This window comes from Homo sapiens, chromosome 5 (genome assembly GCF_000001405.40).
Source record: "Homo sapiens chromosome 5, GRCh38.p14 Primary Assembly".
Classification (NCBI taxonomy): Eukaryota; Metazoa; Chordata; class Mammalia; order Primates; family Hominidae; genus Homo; species Homo sapiens.
In genome coordinates this window covers 160,192,798-160,210,233 of record NC_000005.10, presented here as the reverse complement: position 1 = coordinate 160,210,233, position 17,436 = coordinate 160,192,798, and the positions used below count along the sequence as shown (strand labels likewise).

At 49.7% G+C, this 17,436-nt stretch overlaps 1 protein-coding gene and 1 long non-coding RNA gene across 4 annotated transcripts in view, besides 2 other annotated features; one reads left to right on the top strand and one right to left on the bottom strand.

Moving 5' to 3' along the window:
* The window catches only part of FABP6 (fatty acid binding protein 6), a 51,342-nt gene that overhangs the window by 28,489 nt on the left and 5,417 nt on the right, over window positions 1–17,436 (bottom strand). The window contains exon 2 of one of the 2 annotated variants that reach the window (NM_001130958.2): window positions 11,077–11,185. In NM_001130958.2, the coding sequence (NP_001124430.1) occupies window positions 11,077–11,127 (51 nt within the window). In that variant the 5' untranslated portion in view covers window positions 11,128–11,185. Of the gene's footprint in view, window positions 1–11,076; window positions 11,194–17,436 lie in introns of those variants that run through there. The other variant, NM_001040442.1, reaches the window with a different exon arrangement.
* On the top strand, window positions 164–14,538 carry FABP6-AS1 (FABP6 antisense RNA 1). Of its 2 annotated transcripts, none has more exons than XR_002956232.2 (4): window positions 164–257; window positions 5,412–5,512; window positions 11,063–11,411; window positions 14,287–14,538. It is a non-coding gene; the product is annotated as an FABP6 antisense RNA 1 (long non-coding RNA). The 2 variants fall into 2 exon arrangements; XR_941148.3 differs by having other exon boundaries at window positions 11,063–12,007.
* Window positions 10,589–10,948: a silencer, noted in NCBI's record as "silent region_16580". NCBI's record gives its function as "represses an Ori minimal core promoter by ATAC-STARR-seq in GM12878 lymphoblastoid cells {active_cell/tissue: GM12878}" and the evidence as "EXISTENCE:reporter gene assay evidence [ECO:0000049][PMID:35858748]".
* Window positions 16,601–16,801: a silencer, noted in NCBI's record as "peak5559 fragment used in MPRA reporter construct". NCBI's record gives its function as "represses an SCP1 promoter by STARR-seq MPRAs in K562 erythroleukemia cells {active_cell/tissue: K562}" and the evidence as "EXISTENCE:reporter gene assay evidence [ECO:0000049][PMID:32103011]".

The window sequence follows — 17,436 nt, the reverse complement described above, 5'->3', positions numbered from 1 at the left end:
GAGCCCATATCTCCTGGTAACCAGGTGAATTCTCTTTCCAGCTTACCTGTCATTCATTGCCTGCTGTGTTTTTCATGCATATGTGACTCATGCTTCCACCTAGATCACATGTTTCTTGAGGTCAGAGCCCTTTCTGTGATCTGCTTTACCTGTTTGACTTGCCTTGGTACAGAGAATGGAGCTGCAAGACTCCCCTGGTCAGATCACGTCGGGTCTCCTGAAGACACCAGGAGGATTCTACTGTGCACAGGTTGATTGTATGTCTCCTTTTCCCACTTCTTCCTGAAATTTTCTTATTATACTTTTGATTAAAATGTATGTCTTAGGTTGCTTTCTGTTGCTACAGCTGAATACCTGAGACTGTATATATAGACATAGAAAAGGGCTGGACGCAGTGGCTCATGCCTGTACTCCCAGCACTTTGAGAGGCCAAGGCTGGGGAATCACTTCCGGCCAGGAGTTTAAGACCAGCCTAGGCAACATAGTGAGACCCCCGTCTCTAAAAATAAAAGAAAAGGAAAAAAAGACAAAAAAGACGATGATTTATTGCAGTTTTGGAGACTGGGAAGTCCAAGGTCTAGGGGGCACAACTGGTGAGAGGCTTCTTGCTGGTGGGGACTCTCTGTAGAATACCAAGACGGTACAGAGCATCACATGGCAAGGGGAGCTCACTGAGAGCCAAACTGGCTTTATTTATTTATTTTAATTTTTTGAGACAGGGTCTCACTTTGTCACCCAGGCTGGAGTGCATGGGGCAATCACTGTTCACTGAACCCTCAACCTCCCAGGCTCAAATAATCCTCCTGCCTCAGTCCCCCAAGTAGCTAGGAATACAGGTGTGGGCCACCACACCCGACTAATTTTTGTTTTTTTATTTTTTTGTGGAGAGAGATTTCACCATGTTGCCCAGGCTGGTCTCAAACTCCTGGGCTCAAGTGATTTGCCTGCCTTGGCCTCCCAAGGTTCTGGGATTATAGGCATGAGCCACCACACCAGACCTTTATTTATTTCTGAGAAAGGGTCTTGCTCTGTTGCCCAGATCAGAGTGCAGTGATGCAAAGATGGCTCACTGCAGCCTCAGCCTCTGGAGTAGCTGGGACAACAGGTGTGAGCCACCACACTTGACTAATTCTTTTTTTTTTAGAAATGGGGTCTCCCTGCTGGGTGCAGTGGCTCACGCCTGTAATCGCAGTACTCTGGGAGGCCGAGGCAGGCAAATCACAAGGTCAGGAGTTTGAGACCAGCCTGGCCAACATGGTGAAACCCCGTCCCTACCAAAAATACAAAAAATTAGTTGGGTGTAGTGGCAGGCACCTGAAATCCCACCAACTTGGGAGGCTGAGGCAGGAGAATTGCTTGAATCCGGGAGGCAGAGGTTGCAGTGAGCCGAGATCACACCACTGCACTCCAGCCTGGGCAACAGAGTGAGACTCCCTACAAAAAAAAAAAAAGAAAAGAAAGAAAGAAAAAAAGAAATGGGGTCTCCCTATGTTGGCCAGGTTTGTCTTGCATGCCTGGCCTCAAGCAATGCTCCTGCTTTGGCCTCCCAAAGTTCTGAGATTATAGGCATAAGCCACAGTGCCTGGCTCCCACTCTCATGATAACTAATCCACTCTTATGATAACCCATTAATCCTTTAATTTATTAGTGGATTAATTCATTAATGAGGGCAGAGTCTTCATGATCCTATCACCTCTTGCTATAGTTACATGGGGTAGTAAGCTTCAACATGAGATTGAAGGGGACAAACATTCAAACTATTGCAATGTAGATTCAACTTTTTTCTTTTTTTTTAAGAGACAGCATCTTGTTCTGTCACCCAGGCTGGAATGCAGTGGCATGATTTTAGCTCACAACAGCCTCAAACTCCTGGGCTCAAGCGATCCTCCCACCTCAGCCTCCCAAGTAGCTAGGATGAAAGGCATGCACCACCTCACCTGACTAATTTTTTTTTTTAGACAAACGATCTAGTTATATTGCCCATGATGGCCTTAAACTCCTGGCTTCAAGCAGTCCTCTTGCCTCATCCTTTCAAAGTGCTCAGATTACAGGCATGAGCCATTGAGCCCAGCCTTAAACTTTAAAAATAATTTAAAATCATTTTCTTCTGATGATAAAAGTAACATAAAATTCAGAAAAATGCATAAAATTCAGAAATTTTTTACATAAAATTGAGAAAAAATGCAGAAAAGTCTAAAGAAGATAAAGATGGCCAGGCACGGTAGCTCACTCCTGTAATCCCAGCACTTTGAGAGGCCAAGGCGGGCAGATCACCTGAGGTCAGGATTTTGAGACCAGCCTGGCCAACATGGTGAAACTCCGTCTCTACTAAAAATACAAAAATTAGCTGGGCGTGGTGGCAGGCACCTGTAATCCCAGCTACTGGGGAGGCTGAGGCAGGAGAAGCGCTTGAACCCGGGAGGCGGAGGTTGCAGTGAGCCGAGATCATGCCATCGCACTCCAGCCTGGGGGACAAAAGCGAGACTTCATCTCAAAAAAAAAAAAAAAAAGGAGGTAAAGATGACCTACAGTCCCGTCTCTCATATGTAACTATTGCTTAACAGTTGGTGTGTATTTACTTCCAGACCTTATTATATACACATATAAATATACATACAAACATTTTATCCAAAATGGGAACATACCATATGTACTGTTTTGGAAATACTTTTTATTAAACTTGGAAACATGACATTTTTGAAAGATGATTTACACTGTTGAATAATAAATACAAACTAATTTAGCAAGAATGTCCTTGGTAACTCCTCTCTGTTATAAAAAAGAAACAAAAGAAGGGTAATTTAGAGCAGAAAACCTAAATAACCCCATACAAAAGCCAGAAAGAAAATCTGACTATTGCTACCTTGTCTCCTAAAATGTCTTGGTTATCCATTTAATTTGGGTGTTTGGCATGAAAAAGCTGATGGATGGAAGATGCAGGCCTGGGAGCAAAGTCATGTGACCCTGGGAGTCGGATGAATGGATTGGGCCATGGGAGTTTAGAGGTAAATCTAGGTTCGTGGCCCTTGCCCATTTCCCTACCTCATCTTCTGTCATATCCTCAGTTTCTGCTGCAAACTCATTTCCACTGGAATCCCCTAAACTCACTGTGCTATTTTGCATTTCTTTGCCTTTGCACTTTTCCTTCTACCTAGAATGCCCAGTGGCATAAATGGGAAAAAAATTGACTTTCATGCAACGTCTAACTCAATTATTTGCCTATGAGGAAAACAAAAAGAGCTGTTTGAAGGGCAAAGTAGGTTTTTCTTCTGTATGGACGAAGGTCCTGGGGTAGGTGAGAGTAAGGTTTTTTTCGCCTTTGAAGGTGGAAACACTCTAATCACAGCTTGCCTTGGTGCTGTGTCTAGCATCCATGACCCAGGTGCTGCCGTGCATGTCCAAGCCACCCTGGACTTGACCTCCTCACTCCTCAGTGGTGTTCTGGTCTGTAAGTCCCTCTCCTAACTATTTCCTGAACTTTCTTCAGTCCTGGGTGCTCATAGCCAAGCAGCCCTCAGAGCTGTGGGTATGCACTTTGTGGCTGTTTAGACGTGGGTAGGAAAAAATAATGTTGCCATCGATGTAACCAGTATGTGTGGCTCTGTGTAGAAATGCATACTGCCCGTGTGCATTTATGTCTGTTGTACTATACATAGATTTGCATGCATGTATGAAACATGATGTATATGTGTCCTTCTATCTGTGTACCTAGGAGGATGTATACTTTTCTCTGTGTATATTAAGTTTGAATCACTGTGGATACATGTAGAATATTATGTGGGTTTTTTTGCTTTTTTGTTTTTTTTGAGACAGAGTCTTGCTCTGTCGCCCAGGCTGGAGTGGAGTGGCATGATCTCAGCTCACTCCAGCCTCTGCCTCCCGGGTTCAAGCGATTCTCTTGCCCCAGCCTCCCAAGTAGCTGGAATTACAGGCACGCATCATGCCCCGCTAATTTTTTGTATCTTTAGTAGAGATGGGGTTTCCCCATGTTGGCCAGGTTGGTCTCAAACTCCTGACCTCATGATCTGCCCTCCTCGGCTTCCCAAAGTTGGGATTACAGGCATGAGCCACCACGCCCAGCCTGCTTTTATTATACATACATGTAAACAGCGTGCACATGTGCTCAGCTGTGACTTTCTATATATGGCTCTAGTTGTTTATATACAGATATATGGATATGTATATGTGAGATAATGTGTTTATGGAAGGAGGGTATCGGTTTGCTGCCTTAGGCTACAAGGAAAGAAAAAGAAAAGAAAGAAAAGAAAAGAAAAAAGAAAAGAGACCTTGAACAATAAATCAAGTTAATATCTCTCATGACTAGAATTCCAGAGATGGGAAGGGAGGACTCTCAAGTTGACTGATTGTGTGGATCAGTAACGGCATTAGAGGCCCTGGGTCATTTCCACTTCTCCACTCTGCTTAATTCTGCATCCTCAAGGTCACGAAATGGCTGCAGCATTTCCATACCCCACACTCTCACATTACAGAATCCAATGACAGGTAAATGAGTCTTCACTTCTGAGATGACTTTCTTAAGAATAAGGAAAATTTCACAGAAGCCCCAAGCCAACTTCTTTCCAAATGTCATTGGCTAGAACGTGGTCACATAGCCCAAAGGTAAACCAATCTCCATCAGAGGGACTAAGACCACCAGGGTTGGCTTAGACTAATGAAGGTCCCTCTCCTGGAGCAGGGTTGGAGTCAGCCTTTCAGAAAACAAGGTTGCTAGGAGAAATGGGCATCTGACAGAGTTCATCAGGAAGGGGGAAGCCAGCAGCACCTGTGATAAAGGAGTGTGCACACTTGTGCAGGCATGTCTGTTTATAAGTGTACACGACTTTGAACATGTATGAACATGCAAATATGTAATGTGTGGGGGTATTTCAGTTGCTTTTTTTTTTTTTTTTTTTTTTGAGATGAAGTCTTGCTCTGTCACCCAGGCTAAAGTGCAGTGGTGCGATCTCGGCTCACTGCAACCTCTGCTTCCTGCTGAGAGAGCAAATCCTGGCCAAGATGACAATCTAATCATTAATGGTATCTTGTCTTTGACTGGGAGGCCTTGGGTCCCATGCCAGATGGAAGACTCGGCCCTTATCATAACTCTGCCAAAACCACAATACTGGCAGTGGGAGACGAGACTACCACATATATTTTTTATAATTCTCTGAGAAACTTTCAGTTTTGGGCTTCTCTATCTGAGGCACCACTGGTCCCCAAAAAGCCAATGGAAAACCTTAGCTGTTACGCCCCCTTTCTTTCCAACCCCCAGACCATCCCTAGCTATGGAGCTGGAGACCTCGGGACAGTATTTCTCAGAAAGCAGGAAGCCTGAGCTCAAGGCTGCTAGCAGGGTGAGGCTTCCTACCTTGGATAGGCCCTGAGCACTTGGCTTCTTTCCCTCTCCACAGCAGTGTGTTTCCCAGTAAAGAAAATAGGATGCGGCCGTGCGCAGTGACTTACACCTGTAATCCCAGCACTTTGGGAGGCCGAGGCGGGTGGATCACCTGAGGTAAGGAGTTCGAGACCAGCCTGCCCAATATGGCGAAACCCCGTCTCTACTAAAAATACAAAAAATTAGTCGGGCTTGGTGGCGGGCGCCTGTAATCCCAGCTACTCGGGAGACTGAGGCAGGAGAATTGCTTGAACCCGGGATGCAGAGGTTGCAGTGAGCCAAGATTGCGCCACTGCACTCCAGCCCGGATGACAAGAGAGAAACTCCATCCCCACCCCCCCTAAAAAAGGAAAAGAAAATAGGATGCAGGGGATGAGGGGGAGCTGGGGAGGAAAGACATGGGCTGAGCACGTTCATGCATCACTCATTGTGTGCCCTTCGTGGAATTTCACTCCATCTCCATAGTGAGCTTTTTTAAAAAAACGTATTATTTATTTTTATTTTTATCTTTATTTTATTAGAGATGGGGAGTCTCACTCTATTGCCCAGGCTGGAGTGCAATGGCAGGATTATAGCTCATTGCAGCCTCCAACTCCTGGGTTCAAGCAATGCTTCTGCCTCCCAAGTAGCTAAGACTACAGGACTACAGGTGCATGCTCCACAGCAAGAACCCTGTGGGTATTTTTTTTTTTTTTTTTTTGAGATGGAGTCTCACTCTATTGCCTAGGCTGGGGTGTGGTGGCACAGTCTCGGCTCACTGCAACCTCTGCCTGGCCTAAAAGTCCTTATTTTTTGGAAATTTATACTGAAATATTTACAGATGAAATATAGTGTCTGAGGCTGGGCGCGGTGGCTCAAGCCTGTAATTCTAGCACTTTGGGAGGCCAAGGTGGGCAGATCACCTGAGGTCAGGAGTTCGAGATCAGCCTGACCAACATGGTGAAACCCCAACTCTACTAAAAATACAAAATTAACCAGGCATGTTGGCGCGTGCCTATAATCCCAGCTACTTGAGAGGCTGAGGCTGGAGAATTGCTTGAACCCGGAAGGCGGAGATTACAGTGAGCTAAGATTGTGCCATTGCACTCCAGCCTGAGCAACAAGAGCAAAACTCCATCTCAAAAAAAAAAAAAAAGAAATATAATATCTGAGATTTGGTTCAAAATAATTGGGTGGAGTTGGATGCAGTGGTTTGCACTCATAATCCCAGCTACTTGGGTGGCTAAGGCAGAAGGATTGCTTGATCCCAGGAGTCTGAGACCAGTCTGGGCAACATTGCAAGACCTTTTCTCAAAGAAAAAAAAATGAGGTGAGCATCGTTAAATAAAATTTATGAGATGCCATTGTTTTGGACTGAACTTCTGCACTAGGTCCTAACAAATCAGGCCAAACCAAACTGGAGTCACTCATTCTGAGGGGCCATATAATCAAACTGAACTTAGAAATAGGCCAGTTTTCCAAAAAATAGGATATTCACAGCAGCTAGCTAAAATGCCCCAGTCAACCTGAGACAGCATGATAAGGAGGTCCCCTCTGCTTTAACCCTACAAGGAATGTAACTTTGAAATAACCAATCCACTTTTTGTTCCCCGTTTCTGCTTTCTTCAACATTTTTCTGCCTATGAAGCCCAGCTTCTGGCAGGGCGTGGTGGCTCAAGCCTGTAATCCCAGCACTTTGAGAAGCCAAGGTGGGCAGATCACCTGAGGTCAGGAGTTCGAGACCAGCCTGGCCACCACAGTGAAACCCCATCTCTACTAATAATATAAAAACTAGCCGGATACGGTGGTGCATGCCTATAATCTCAGCTACTTGGGAGGCTGAGGCAGGAGAATCGCTTGAACCTGGGAGGCAGAGGTTGCAGTGAGCTGAGATCAAGCCATTGCACTCTAGTCTGGGCAACAAGAGTGAAACTCCATCTCAAAAAAAAAAGCCCAGCTTCTCTGGTTACCCCATTGGAGCACCTTTCTGTTTTGTATATGGGATTCTGCCCAATTCATGAATCGCTAAGAAAAGCCAGTTAAAATTTTTTTTTTTTTTTTGAGATGGAGTTTCGCTCTGTTCCCCAGGCTGGAGTGCAGTGGTGCAATCTCACTGCAAGCTCTACCTCCCAGGTTCATGCCATTCTCCTGCCTCAGCCTCCCGAGTCACTGGGACTACAGGCGCCTGACACCACGCCTGGCTAATTTTTCTTTTTTTTGTATTTTTAGTAGAGACGGGGTTTCACCGTGTTAGCCAGAATGGTCTCGATCTCCTGACCTCGTGATTTGCCTGCCTTGTCCTCCCAAAGTGCTGGGATTACGGGCGTGAGCCACCACGCCCGGCCAAGCCAGTTAAATTTTTGAAACTCAATTTGTTGACATTTTGCTTTTTGACATGGTGAAGTGGGGGAGTAGGTGGGATAAAATAAGGTAGGATTGGCCATGTTGATCAGTATGGAGCTGGGCTGTGGGTACATGGGGTATTGTATGTTTGTATATATTTGAGTTTCTTCATAAGAGAAAAAAGTTTTTGAAGAGTTAAGTGGAAATAAAGGAGTCACTTTCTCAGAAAAGCCTTTCTGGCCCTCCAGGCTAGTTCAGGTCCCTTTTCTATGCTGCCATGCCACTTCTCCTTCATGGCACTTCGATGAATGATAATGACAATACTGAGGATTGTGTCGTCTCAATATCCATCTCCCCTGTAGAGAGCAGAAAGTAGAGTCTGCCTAAATCCCTGCTTCCACCCAAGAGCACATTTGGTGAAAGAATAAATGAAGAATGAATCAGTGAATGAATGGCTGGGTGAGGTGGCTCACACGTGTAATCCCAGCACTTTGGGAGGTGAAGGCGAGCAGATCGCCTGAGCCCAGGAGTTCAAGACCAGCTTGGGCAACATGGTGAAATCTCATCTCTACAAAAAAATACAAAAATTAGCTGGGTGTGGTGGTGTGCACCTGCAGTCCCAGCTGCTCAGGAGGCTGAGGTGGGAGGATCACTTGAGCCTGGAAGGTGGAGGCTGCAGTAATCCATGATCATATACTGCATTCCAGCCTGAGTGATAGAGTAAGACCCTGTCGCAAAAAATAAATAAATAAGTGAATGAATGAATGAGTTCAAAGAAACCTCACTGTGGGCTGGAGAAAACAGGACAGGTGGCTTCCTGAAGAAAGAGAGGAGGGGGAGGGGAAAGAGGAAGAAAGAAGAAGGGTGAGAAATGAGAAGGGGAGAGGGAATCCCACCTGGCTCCTCCCCCAACTCTGACTTTACTTATTATTTTGTTATTTAATTGTATGGCATTGCATTTGGCTACCATTCCTATTTAAAAAACGTTTAAATTATTATTTTTAAATAGGTAATACATTCACTTCTCTTAATATCCAAGAATAACAAAAGAGCTATGGGGAAAATCTCCCACCTCACCTCACTCCCATCCCCTTCCACCCTACCCCCCCACCCTAGGCAAACGAAACCACTAGTTTCTTTGGGGATTTTTGTTTTATTTGAGACAGGGTCTCGCTTTGTTGCCCAGGCTGGAGTGCAGTGTCGCGATCTTGACTCACTGCAGCCTCGACCTCCTGGACACAAGTGATCCTCCCACACCAGCCTCCCAAGTAGCTGGGACTACAATTACATGCCTCCACACCCTGCTAATTTGTGTATTTTTTTTTTAGAGATGGAGTTTTGCCATGTTGCCAAGGCTGGTCTGGAACTTCTGGGCTCAAGTGATCCTCCTGCCTCAGCTTACCAAACTGTAGGGATTTCAGGTGTAAGCCATGGCACCCAACTCAAAACTACTAGTTTCTTATGTATCCTTCAGAGATATATGTATAAATGCACGCAAATATGTATACATTCATATGTGTATATATATGACCCTCTTGTAGGGTTAAATCCCCTGAAGTAGAACAACTGGGTCAGAGGATTGCCAGACACTGACGAAGCCTCCATGAAGATTGTGCCAGTTCATACTTCCCTGGCAATGCTAAGGCCACCTTCCCCTCTCCCCACCCAAGGGCTAGGTTTGAAGGATTAGGTGTGGCCAGGCCAGGAGGAAGTGTGGAGCCATCCCAAGAGATGCCCATGGCAGGAGAACACAGATGAGACAGCTGGGGACAGTAACACAGACCTCTCCTCAAACTAAAGACTTGCCGGGTGCGGTGGCTCACGCCTGTAACCCCAGCACTTTGGGAGGCCAAGGCGGGTGGATCACCTGAGGTCAGGAGTTCAAGACCAGCCTGGCCAACATGGTGAAACCCCGTCTCTACTAAAAATACAAAAAATTAGCCAGGCATGATGGTGGGCGCCTGTAATCCCAACTACTCAGGAGGCTGAGGAAGGAGAATCTCTTGAACCCAGGAGGCAGATGTTGCAGTGAGCCAAGATCGTGCCATTGCACTCCAGCCTGGGCAACAAGAGGGAGACTCCGCCTCAAAAAAAAAAAAATAGAAAAAAAAGGACTCAACGGGCGTTTGCATCCTCTGCTGTTCCCTGCAGCCTCTGCCCACAACGGCAGAAAGAACTAGGGCCTGAGAGTTCAGAGGTCAGATGGGGATTCTGGGCCTAGGTCTGCCACCTCTGCTCAATAGGTGGCCATGGGTAGGCCACTTTCTTAAGAATAATGACTAACTGCAGGCACAGTGCTAAGCATGTTGCATGTGTGTTCTCCCATAATCCTAAGAGGCTGCCACTTCCGCAGCTTGAGCTCAGAGAGGTTAGGAAGGCTGTCTAAGGTCGTCCAGCTATTAAGCAGCAGAGATGGAATTTGAACCCAGACTTCACACTAGTTTCACTGCTGGAGCCTCAGTTTACCCCTTAGTGAGATAAGGCAGCCAGACTCTGCCTAAGCCTTTTCCATCACAGGACGTCCTGTGTGGTGCGCCTGCACGGTGAGTGGCACAGTCAGAGGGCCCCTGGCTGGGGTAGGTGGGAGGGATGTGGAGCCACCTCCGTGGGGAAGACCATGTCCTGCCCCACTTCTTGTAGGACGGCCTGTCTCTCCTCAGCAGTCCTTTCAGGAGGCTTCATTGCTCTGGGCTGGTGCGGGGGTTCAGGTTAGGCTGTGAACTCCCTAGTGAGCGGAGATCCCACTGGGACGCGTCTGTGTCCCTCCCCGCGCCGGACACTGGGGCTCACCACAAGATAGGCTACCATGCGGGTTTGCTAATGGAGACGAAGGAGGGGGCAGGGGATGAAGATAGCAGGGGGAGATGCCAGGTAGGGAGAGAGGGAGACAGGAATGGCAAGACAGAGAGGAAGTGCGAGGCCTCAGTAGGAGACAGCCGAGCCCCGCCCGCCGGCCCCAGGCCGACGGGGAGCCGGGATGCCGCGACCTGGCGCGCCCTCTGGTGGCCGGCTTGGCACGGCACGGCCCGGGGTGGCGCAGGAGGGGGTGAGCCCAGGGGGCCAGGGGGCTGCCCCGGTCCCCACCGCCATCGTCTCTAGGGGTGGCCGAACCTGCCACTACTCCAAGTGTCCGTCCTCTGAGGGAAGCCATCTTAGTAACAACAACAATGAGACTGTCACAAAGACAGTCACAGAGAGACAGCTGAAAGGAGGAAAAGGGCTTTGGAGCCATGACAAGTCTGTTATTAGCATCACAGAGAAAGGCGAGCAAGTCCCCCACCCAAGGTGTTCTCCCCACTGTGACCTGGGTCATCCTTTCATTTGCCTCAAATGACTTATTTCCAGCTTCACGGAGCTACCTGAGTCAGCGCCTGCATCTCCACCACCATCATCATCGTCACTGTCTTCATCGCCTCTGGGCTGGACCAGCCCCTGCCTGTGAGCTCCCTGGAGCCAGAGGTGCAAAGTCTGCAATGACACAAAAAGCCAGCACGCTGGGAGGGGCTCTGGAGACCATCTCATTGTTCATTCATTTGTCTATTCAATCCATTTTATTGACTGCTCACTGTGTGCCAGACACATGGGCCCTGGAGATACAGAAGAAACACGTGAGGTCCCTGCCCTCCAGGAATTAAGAAGATAAAGTCAAAAGTGCTGTAAAGAACAACAGGATGATGGGCCAGTATTTGAAGAGGTCGTTTTCAGATGGGGTGGGCAGGGAAGGCATGTCTGAGAAAGGAATCTTTGTGGACACCTTAATGCTTAGGACATGGGGCTGAGAAAAGCAGGCAGAGGAATTTCAGATAACGCCTCAGTTGGTAAAAAGCTAGGGGGATGGTGCAGGCAAGGAATAGAAGGAAGGACAGTGTGGTGGGAGTTTGGTGGTGAGTGAAAGAGGGGCCTGGGGACCGTGCACACTTGAAGGCTGTAGCCGGGCATCTGGCTTGGATTTTGAGGACTGAGGGGACCATTACAGGGCTTTAGGCATGGGGATGGCACGATCCAATTTACATTTTTCATGTCATTCCATCTGCTTCCTGGAGAACACATGATAGGAAGAAGGAACGTGGAAGCAGGGAGACCAGTGAGGTGGTAACTCCAGAAACAAAGAGGTGGCGGCTGATGGGGCGAGTGGGAGGAGCCTGACCCTGGTGGATTTTGGAGGCACAGAAGGCAAACCTGCTGGGGGATTGTCTGTGGGGGACAGGGAGAGCAAAGACTGGGTGCCTTCCTCTTCCTGCCTTCCTCTTCCCGCTTTGCACCCCTTCTGGCCTGAATCATCTCCCTCAGGTAACTAAGAGGAGGGGGCAAAGGACTCCAGACTATGTAGCCAGATATAGCCCCAGGTCCCCAGGGCTATATCTTGGGTCTGTGCAGAAACTAGGGACGTGGGGGCCAGAGGTATTTTTAGCCTTCTAGCTCTCTCCTTCTGTCTTCTGCAATCCCTCTCCCTACCCCCTTCCCCCTTCTTCTCTCCTTCTCCCTTCCCTCTCCAGCTCCTTCCCCCACCTCCTGCTCCTCTTTCTCTCTCTCTCACACACACATACACACACACACACACATACACACACACACACACACACACACACACACACGAAGCAGCCTTATCAGGAGGAAGCCTCCAGCAGAGACAAGCGGTCTCCAGGGACAGAGCAGAGGAGCTGACAGGAGTTTCCGGAGCAGGGGGAGGCTGACTTCCCTGCCTTCCCCATTCCTTCCAGCTCCCACTGCCTCTCGCTTCCTGCAGCATTTCTCTCCAGACGCGCGCTTCTCAACTGGAGGCCACTTTGTCTTCCTGGGACATTTGGCAATATCTGGAAACATTGTTGGTTGTCATAACTGAGGAGGGGGCAGGGTTGGCATGGAGTGGGTAGAGACCAGAGATGCACAGGACAGCCCCCATAACAAAGAATGATCGGCGCCAACAGTGCTGAGAGCCCTCCCTAGGCTCTGCCGGCAGAGCTGGAAGGGACTGTCCTCTTCCTTGTGGTCCCACTATCACCACACTGGCCACACTGTCCCTGCATTATCTCTATTGGTCTTCTCAGCCACACTGTGAGGTACATAGTATTATTCACCCAAGGTCATGCAGGCAGTAAGAGGCAGAGCTGGGATTAAGACTGTGAAGCCTGTGGTTTAACTGGTCTCTCTCTACTGAAGGGGTTGTCACAGCCTGTGTCATTGTTATTAGCAATGGGACACGCTGTCTCAAGTGAAGTCTTATTCAGAAGTCCAATGTAAGTCCACTGTGTAAGACAGAGAGCGTAGAACTGCCTAGGGTGAAGCAGTGTGGGAGGTTATGAACCCCCTGGGCCCACCCCTCTTCCCACCTTATGGAGCCTCCAAAAGCCATCTGTCTAGCCGGGCAGGGCCCCTGTGGAGGGCTGCACAGGTTGTGCACTGCAAAACTCTAGGAGAGGCCACTCCCATGGGCTTCTTCGTGGGGCCTGTTGAGGTAAGGCAGAGCTCCTTTAGGGAAGGGTGGCAAATGGGATTTCTCCCATTGCAGACATGTGTTGCTTAGCAGACAAGGTGTCACGGTAGCCTAATAAGGTCTGGAGTAGGAAAGCGGGATGAGAGTGGCTGAGTGGCCAGCATCTGCCTTCCTGGTCCTAAAATATGGAGAATAGAAAATAGAATTGGAGGCCAGGCGCGGTGGCTCACGCCTGTAATCCCAGCACTTTGGGAGGTCGAGGTGGGCAGATCACCAGGTCAGGAGATCAAGACCATCCTGGCTAACACGGTGAAACCCCGTCTGTACTAAAAATACAAAACAATTAGCCGGGCGTGGCGGCATGTGCCTGTTGTCCCAGCTACTCAGGAGGCTGAGGCAGGAGAATGGCGTGAACCCGGGAGGCAGAGCTGGCAGTGAGCCGAGATCGTGCCACTGCACTCCAGCCTGGGTAACAGAGCAAGACTCCATCTCAAAAAACAAAAAGAAAAGAAAATGGAATTGGACTAGGAGATATCTTGACACTCCCCACCCTTGCAACTTAGCAGCGACTCAACAATGAAGCTGCCAACCCTCGTTCCAAAACCTTACAAGACCTGAGGCTCGTATATACACTAGTCCCCCAGGAAAGCCTTCCCTAACCCTAGAGCCTCTCTCCCCAGAGCCCCATCAGGTTTCCTTTTTGGGGCCTCCTGTTGTTCATCTTTATCTAAACCTGGATTCATGTTTGGGCAGAGAAGCTGTAGTTGAGGTTGTCACCGCCTTCTCAACCCTCCTGGGGAAGGCTTGGGCTAGACCTGGCAGAAGGGGTTGGATAGGGGATGTCCCTCTCCAGGTCTCCCCGTGGAGTGAGACCCTTTCCCCTTGAGTGCCATGGTGGCTCCCCAGGCATCATCAAGCCACCTGGCATCTTGGTGCTTTGACATGAGATCCAGTAGACACCCTGTAAAGGAGGACTGTGGGCACTGCCTGCTCTCTCGGCATGGGCTTCTCCAGCTGCCCTGCACTTGGGCATCTTACAGCCTGGAATAAATCCTCCTGGCCCATGTCCCCTCTGCCTGGACCCAGCTACAGAGTGATACTGCTGATGCCAGAACTGACTCTTCTGTTCCAACAGGGAGTGGTGCCCTCGGGTCCCAAGAGGGCTGCAGACTGCAGGCCTCCCTGAAGTGAAGATGCAGCAAAGTGGAAGACAGCACACGGAAACCATGCAGCAGCTCCCTCTGGGGAAGAGAAAGAGGGAGCCACGTTGCTCTATACCCTGTGGACTTCTTGCAATATGAACCTTCATGGACCTAAGAAAAATAATAATAAAGGAAAAAATAGCCAGGTGGGCTGGTTCACACCTGGGATCCCAGCACTTTAGGAGGCCGAGGCAAGTGGATGACTTGAGCCTAGGAGTTCCAGACCAGTAACAAGGCAAAACCCTGTCTCTACCAAAAATTATCTGGGTAAGGTGGTGCATGACTGTAGTCTCAGCTCCTTGGGAGGCTGAGATGGGGAGGATCTCTCAAGCCTGGGAAGCTGTGGCTGCAGTGAGCTGTGATCGTGCCACTGCACTTCAGCCAGGCCACAGAACGTGTCCCTGTCTCAAAAAGAGAGAGAGAGACAGAAAAAAAGTTTGAGGCTTGGCAGTAGAGCCCTGAATGAGGCAGTGGCCAGTCCAGCAGTGAATACACACTAAGAACGGGCTGTGACCATGTGGAAGGGCTCTTGTTCTCAACCCCTTGTGCTGGCCTCAGAAAGGAGAGTCTTTTTTTTTTTTTTTTTTTTTTTTTTTTGAGACAGAGTCTCGCTCTGTTGCCCAGGCTGGAGTGCAGTGGCACCATCTCAGCTAACTGCAACCTCTGCCTCCAGGTTCAAGCAATTCTCCGGCCTCAGCCTCCTGAGTAGCTGGGATTATAGGCACCCGCCACCATGCCCGGCTAATGTTTGTATTTTTAGTAGAGTCGGGGTTTCACCATGTTGGCCAGGCTGGTCTCAAACTCTTGACCTCAAGTGATCCACCTGCCTTGGCTTCCCAAAGTTCTGGGATTACAGGCATGAGCCACTGCACCCAGCCAGGAAGGAGATTAAATTCTGCCTTCCCAGGAAATACTCTGTCTGTGTATTTGTTCATTCAGACAACAAATATTCCTTGAGCTCCTGCTATGTACTGAGCACTGCACTGGGTGCTAGTCAAGGTCCCTGCTTTCCGGGAACAAATAGACTGATGGGGTGGGCAGGGAGTGGGGAATATGGAGGTATAGGCAGGGAAACCGGCCATCAGAGCAGTGGTCAGCATCAGGACAGGGGATCTAAAGGGACTGCCATCAAGGTGGGACATGAGGGGTCAGGAAAGGCCTGGAGGTAAGGAGGTGGACACTGGAATCAAAAGAATGAACAAAAAGCCTGGGAGAGTTGGAGTGCGGTGGATAGGGGTGTTCTACGCAGAGGGTGTCCCTGGTGAGAGGCCCAGCTCAGAAAGGGGATTTCTTTCTCTCTCTCTCTTTTTATTTTTATTTTTTATTTATTTAATTTTTTTGAGACCGGGTCTTGCTCCATTGCCCAGGCTGGAGTGCAATGGTGCAATCATGGCTCACTGCAGCCTCAAATGAGAGATAACAGCGTGCTGGCAGTCCTCACAGCCCTCGCTCACTCTCGGGGCCTCCTCTGCCTGGGCTCCCACTTTGGCGGCACTTGAGGAGCCCTTCAGCCCACCACTGCACTGTGGGAGTCCCTTTCTGGGCTGGCCAAGGCTGGAGCCCACTCCCTCAGCTTGCAGGGAGGTGTGGAGGGAGAGGCGCGAGCAGGAACTGGGGCTGCGTGCGGATGCGTGCGGCGCTTGCGGGCCAGCTGGAGTTGCCGGTGGGCGTGGGCTTGGTGGGTCCCGCACTGGGAGCAGCCGGCCGGCCCTGCTGGCCCCGGGCAATGAGGGACTTAGCACCTGGGCCAGCGGCTGCGGAGGGTGTACTGGGTCCCCCAGCAGTGCCGGCCCACCGGCGCTGCGCTTGATTTCTCGCCGGGCCTTAGCTGCCTTCCCATGGGGCAGGGCTCGGGACCTGCAGCCAGCCATGCAGGAGCCTTCCCCCGCCTCCGTGGGCACCTGTGCAGCCCGAGCCTCCCCGACGAGCGCCGCCCCCTGCCCCACGGCGCCCAGTCCCATCGACCGCCCAAGGGCTGAGGAGTGCGAGCGCATGGCGCGTGACTGGCAGGCAGCTCCACCTGCAACCCTGGTGCGGGATCCACTGGGTGAAGCCAGCTGGGCTCCTGAGTCTGGTGGGGAGGTGGAGAATCTTTATGTCTAGCTCAGGGATTGTAAAAACACCAATCGGCACTCTCTATCTAGCTCAAGGTTTGTAAACACACCAATCAGCACCCTGTGTCTAGCTCAGGGTTTGTGAGTGCACCAATCGACACTGTATCTAGCTGCTCTGGTGGGGCCTTGGAGAACCTTTGTGTGGATACTCTGTATCTAACTAATCTGATGGGGATGAGGAGAACCTTTGTATCTAGCTCAGGGATTGTAAACGCACCAATCAGCACCCTGCCAAAACAGGCCACTCGGCTCTACCAATCAGCAGGATGTGGGTGGGGCCAAATAAGAGAATAAAAGCAGGCTGCCTGAGCCAGCAGTCGCAACCCGCTCGGGTCCCCTTCCACACTGTGGAAGCCTTGTTCTTTTGCTCTTTGCAATAAATCTTGCTACTGCTCACTCTTTGGGTCCCCACTGCTTTTATGAGCTATAACACTTACCGTGAAAGTCTGCAGCTTCACTCCTGAAGCCAGCGAGACCACGAGCCCACCGGGAGGAACGAACAACTCCAGACGTGCCGCAACACTCACCGCGAAAGTCTGCAGTTTCACCCCTGAGCCAGCGAGACCACGAACCCACCAGAAGGAAGAAACTCTGAACACATCCGAACATCAGAAGGAACAAACTCCAGACGTGCCACCTTAAGAGCTGTAACACTCACCGCAAGGGTCCGTGGCTTCATTCTTGAAGTCAGTGAGACCAAGAACCCACCAATTCCGGACACACAATCTCCCAGGCTTAAGCAATCCTCCTGCCTCAGCTTCCCAAGTAGTTCAGACTACAGGTGTGCACCACCATGCCTGGCTTATTTTTTATTTTTTGTAGAGACAGGGTCTCACTATGTTGCTCAGGCTGGTCTCAAACTCCTGACTTCAAGCAATCCTCCCACCTCAGCCTCCCAAAGTGCTGGGATTACAGGCATGAGCCATCAACCCCAGCGTGGGATTTCTTATATGATCCAGGAGCCACACT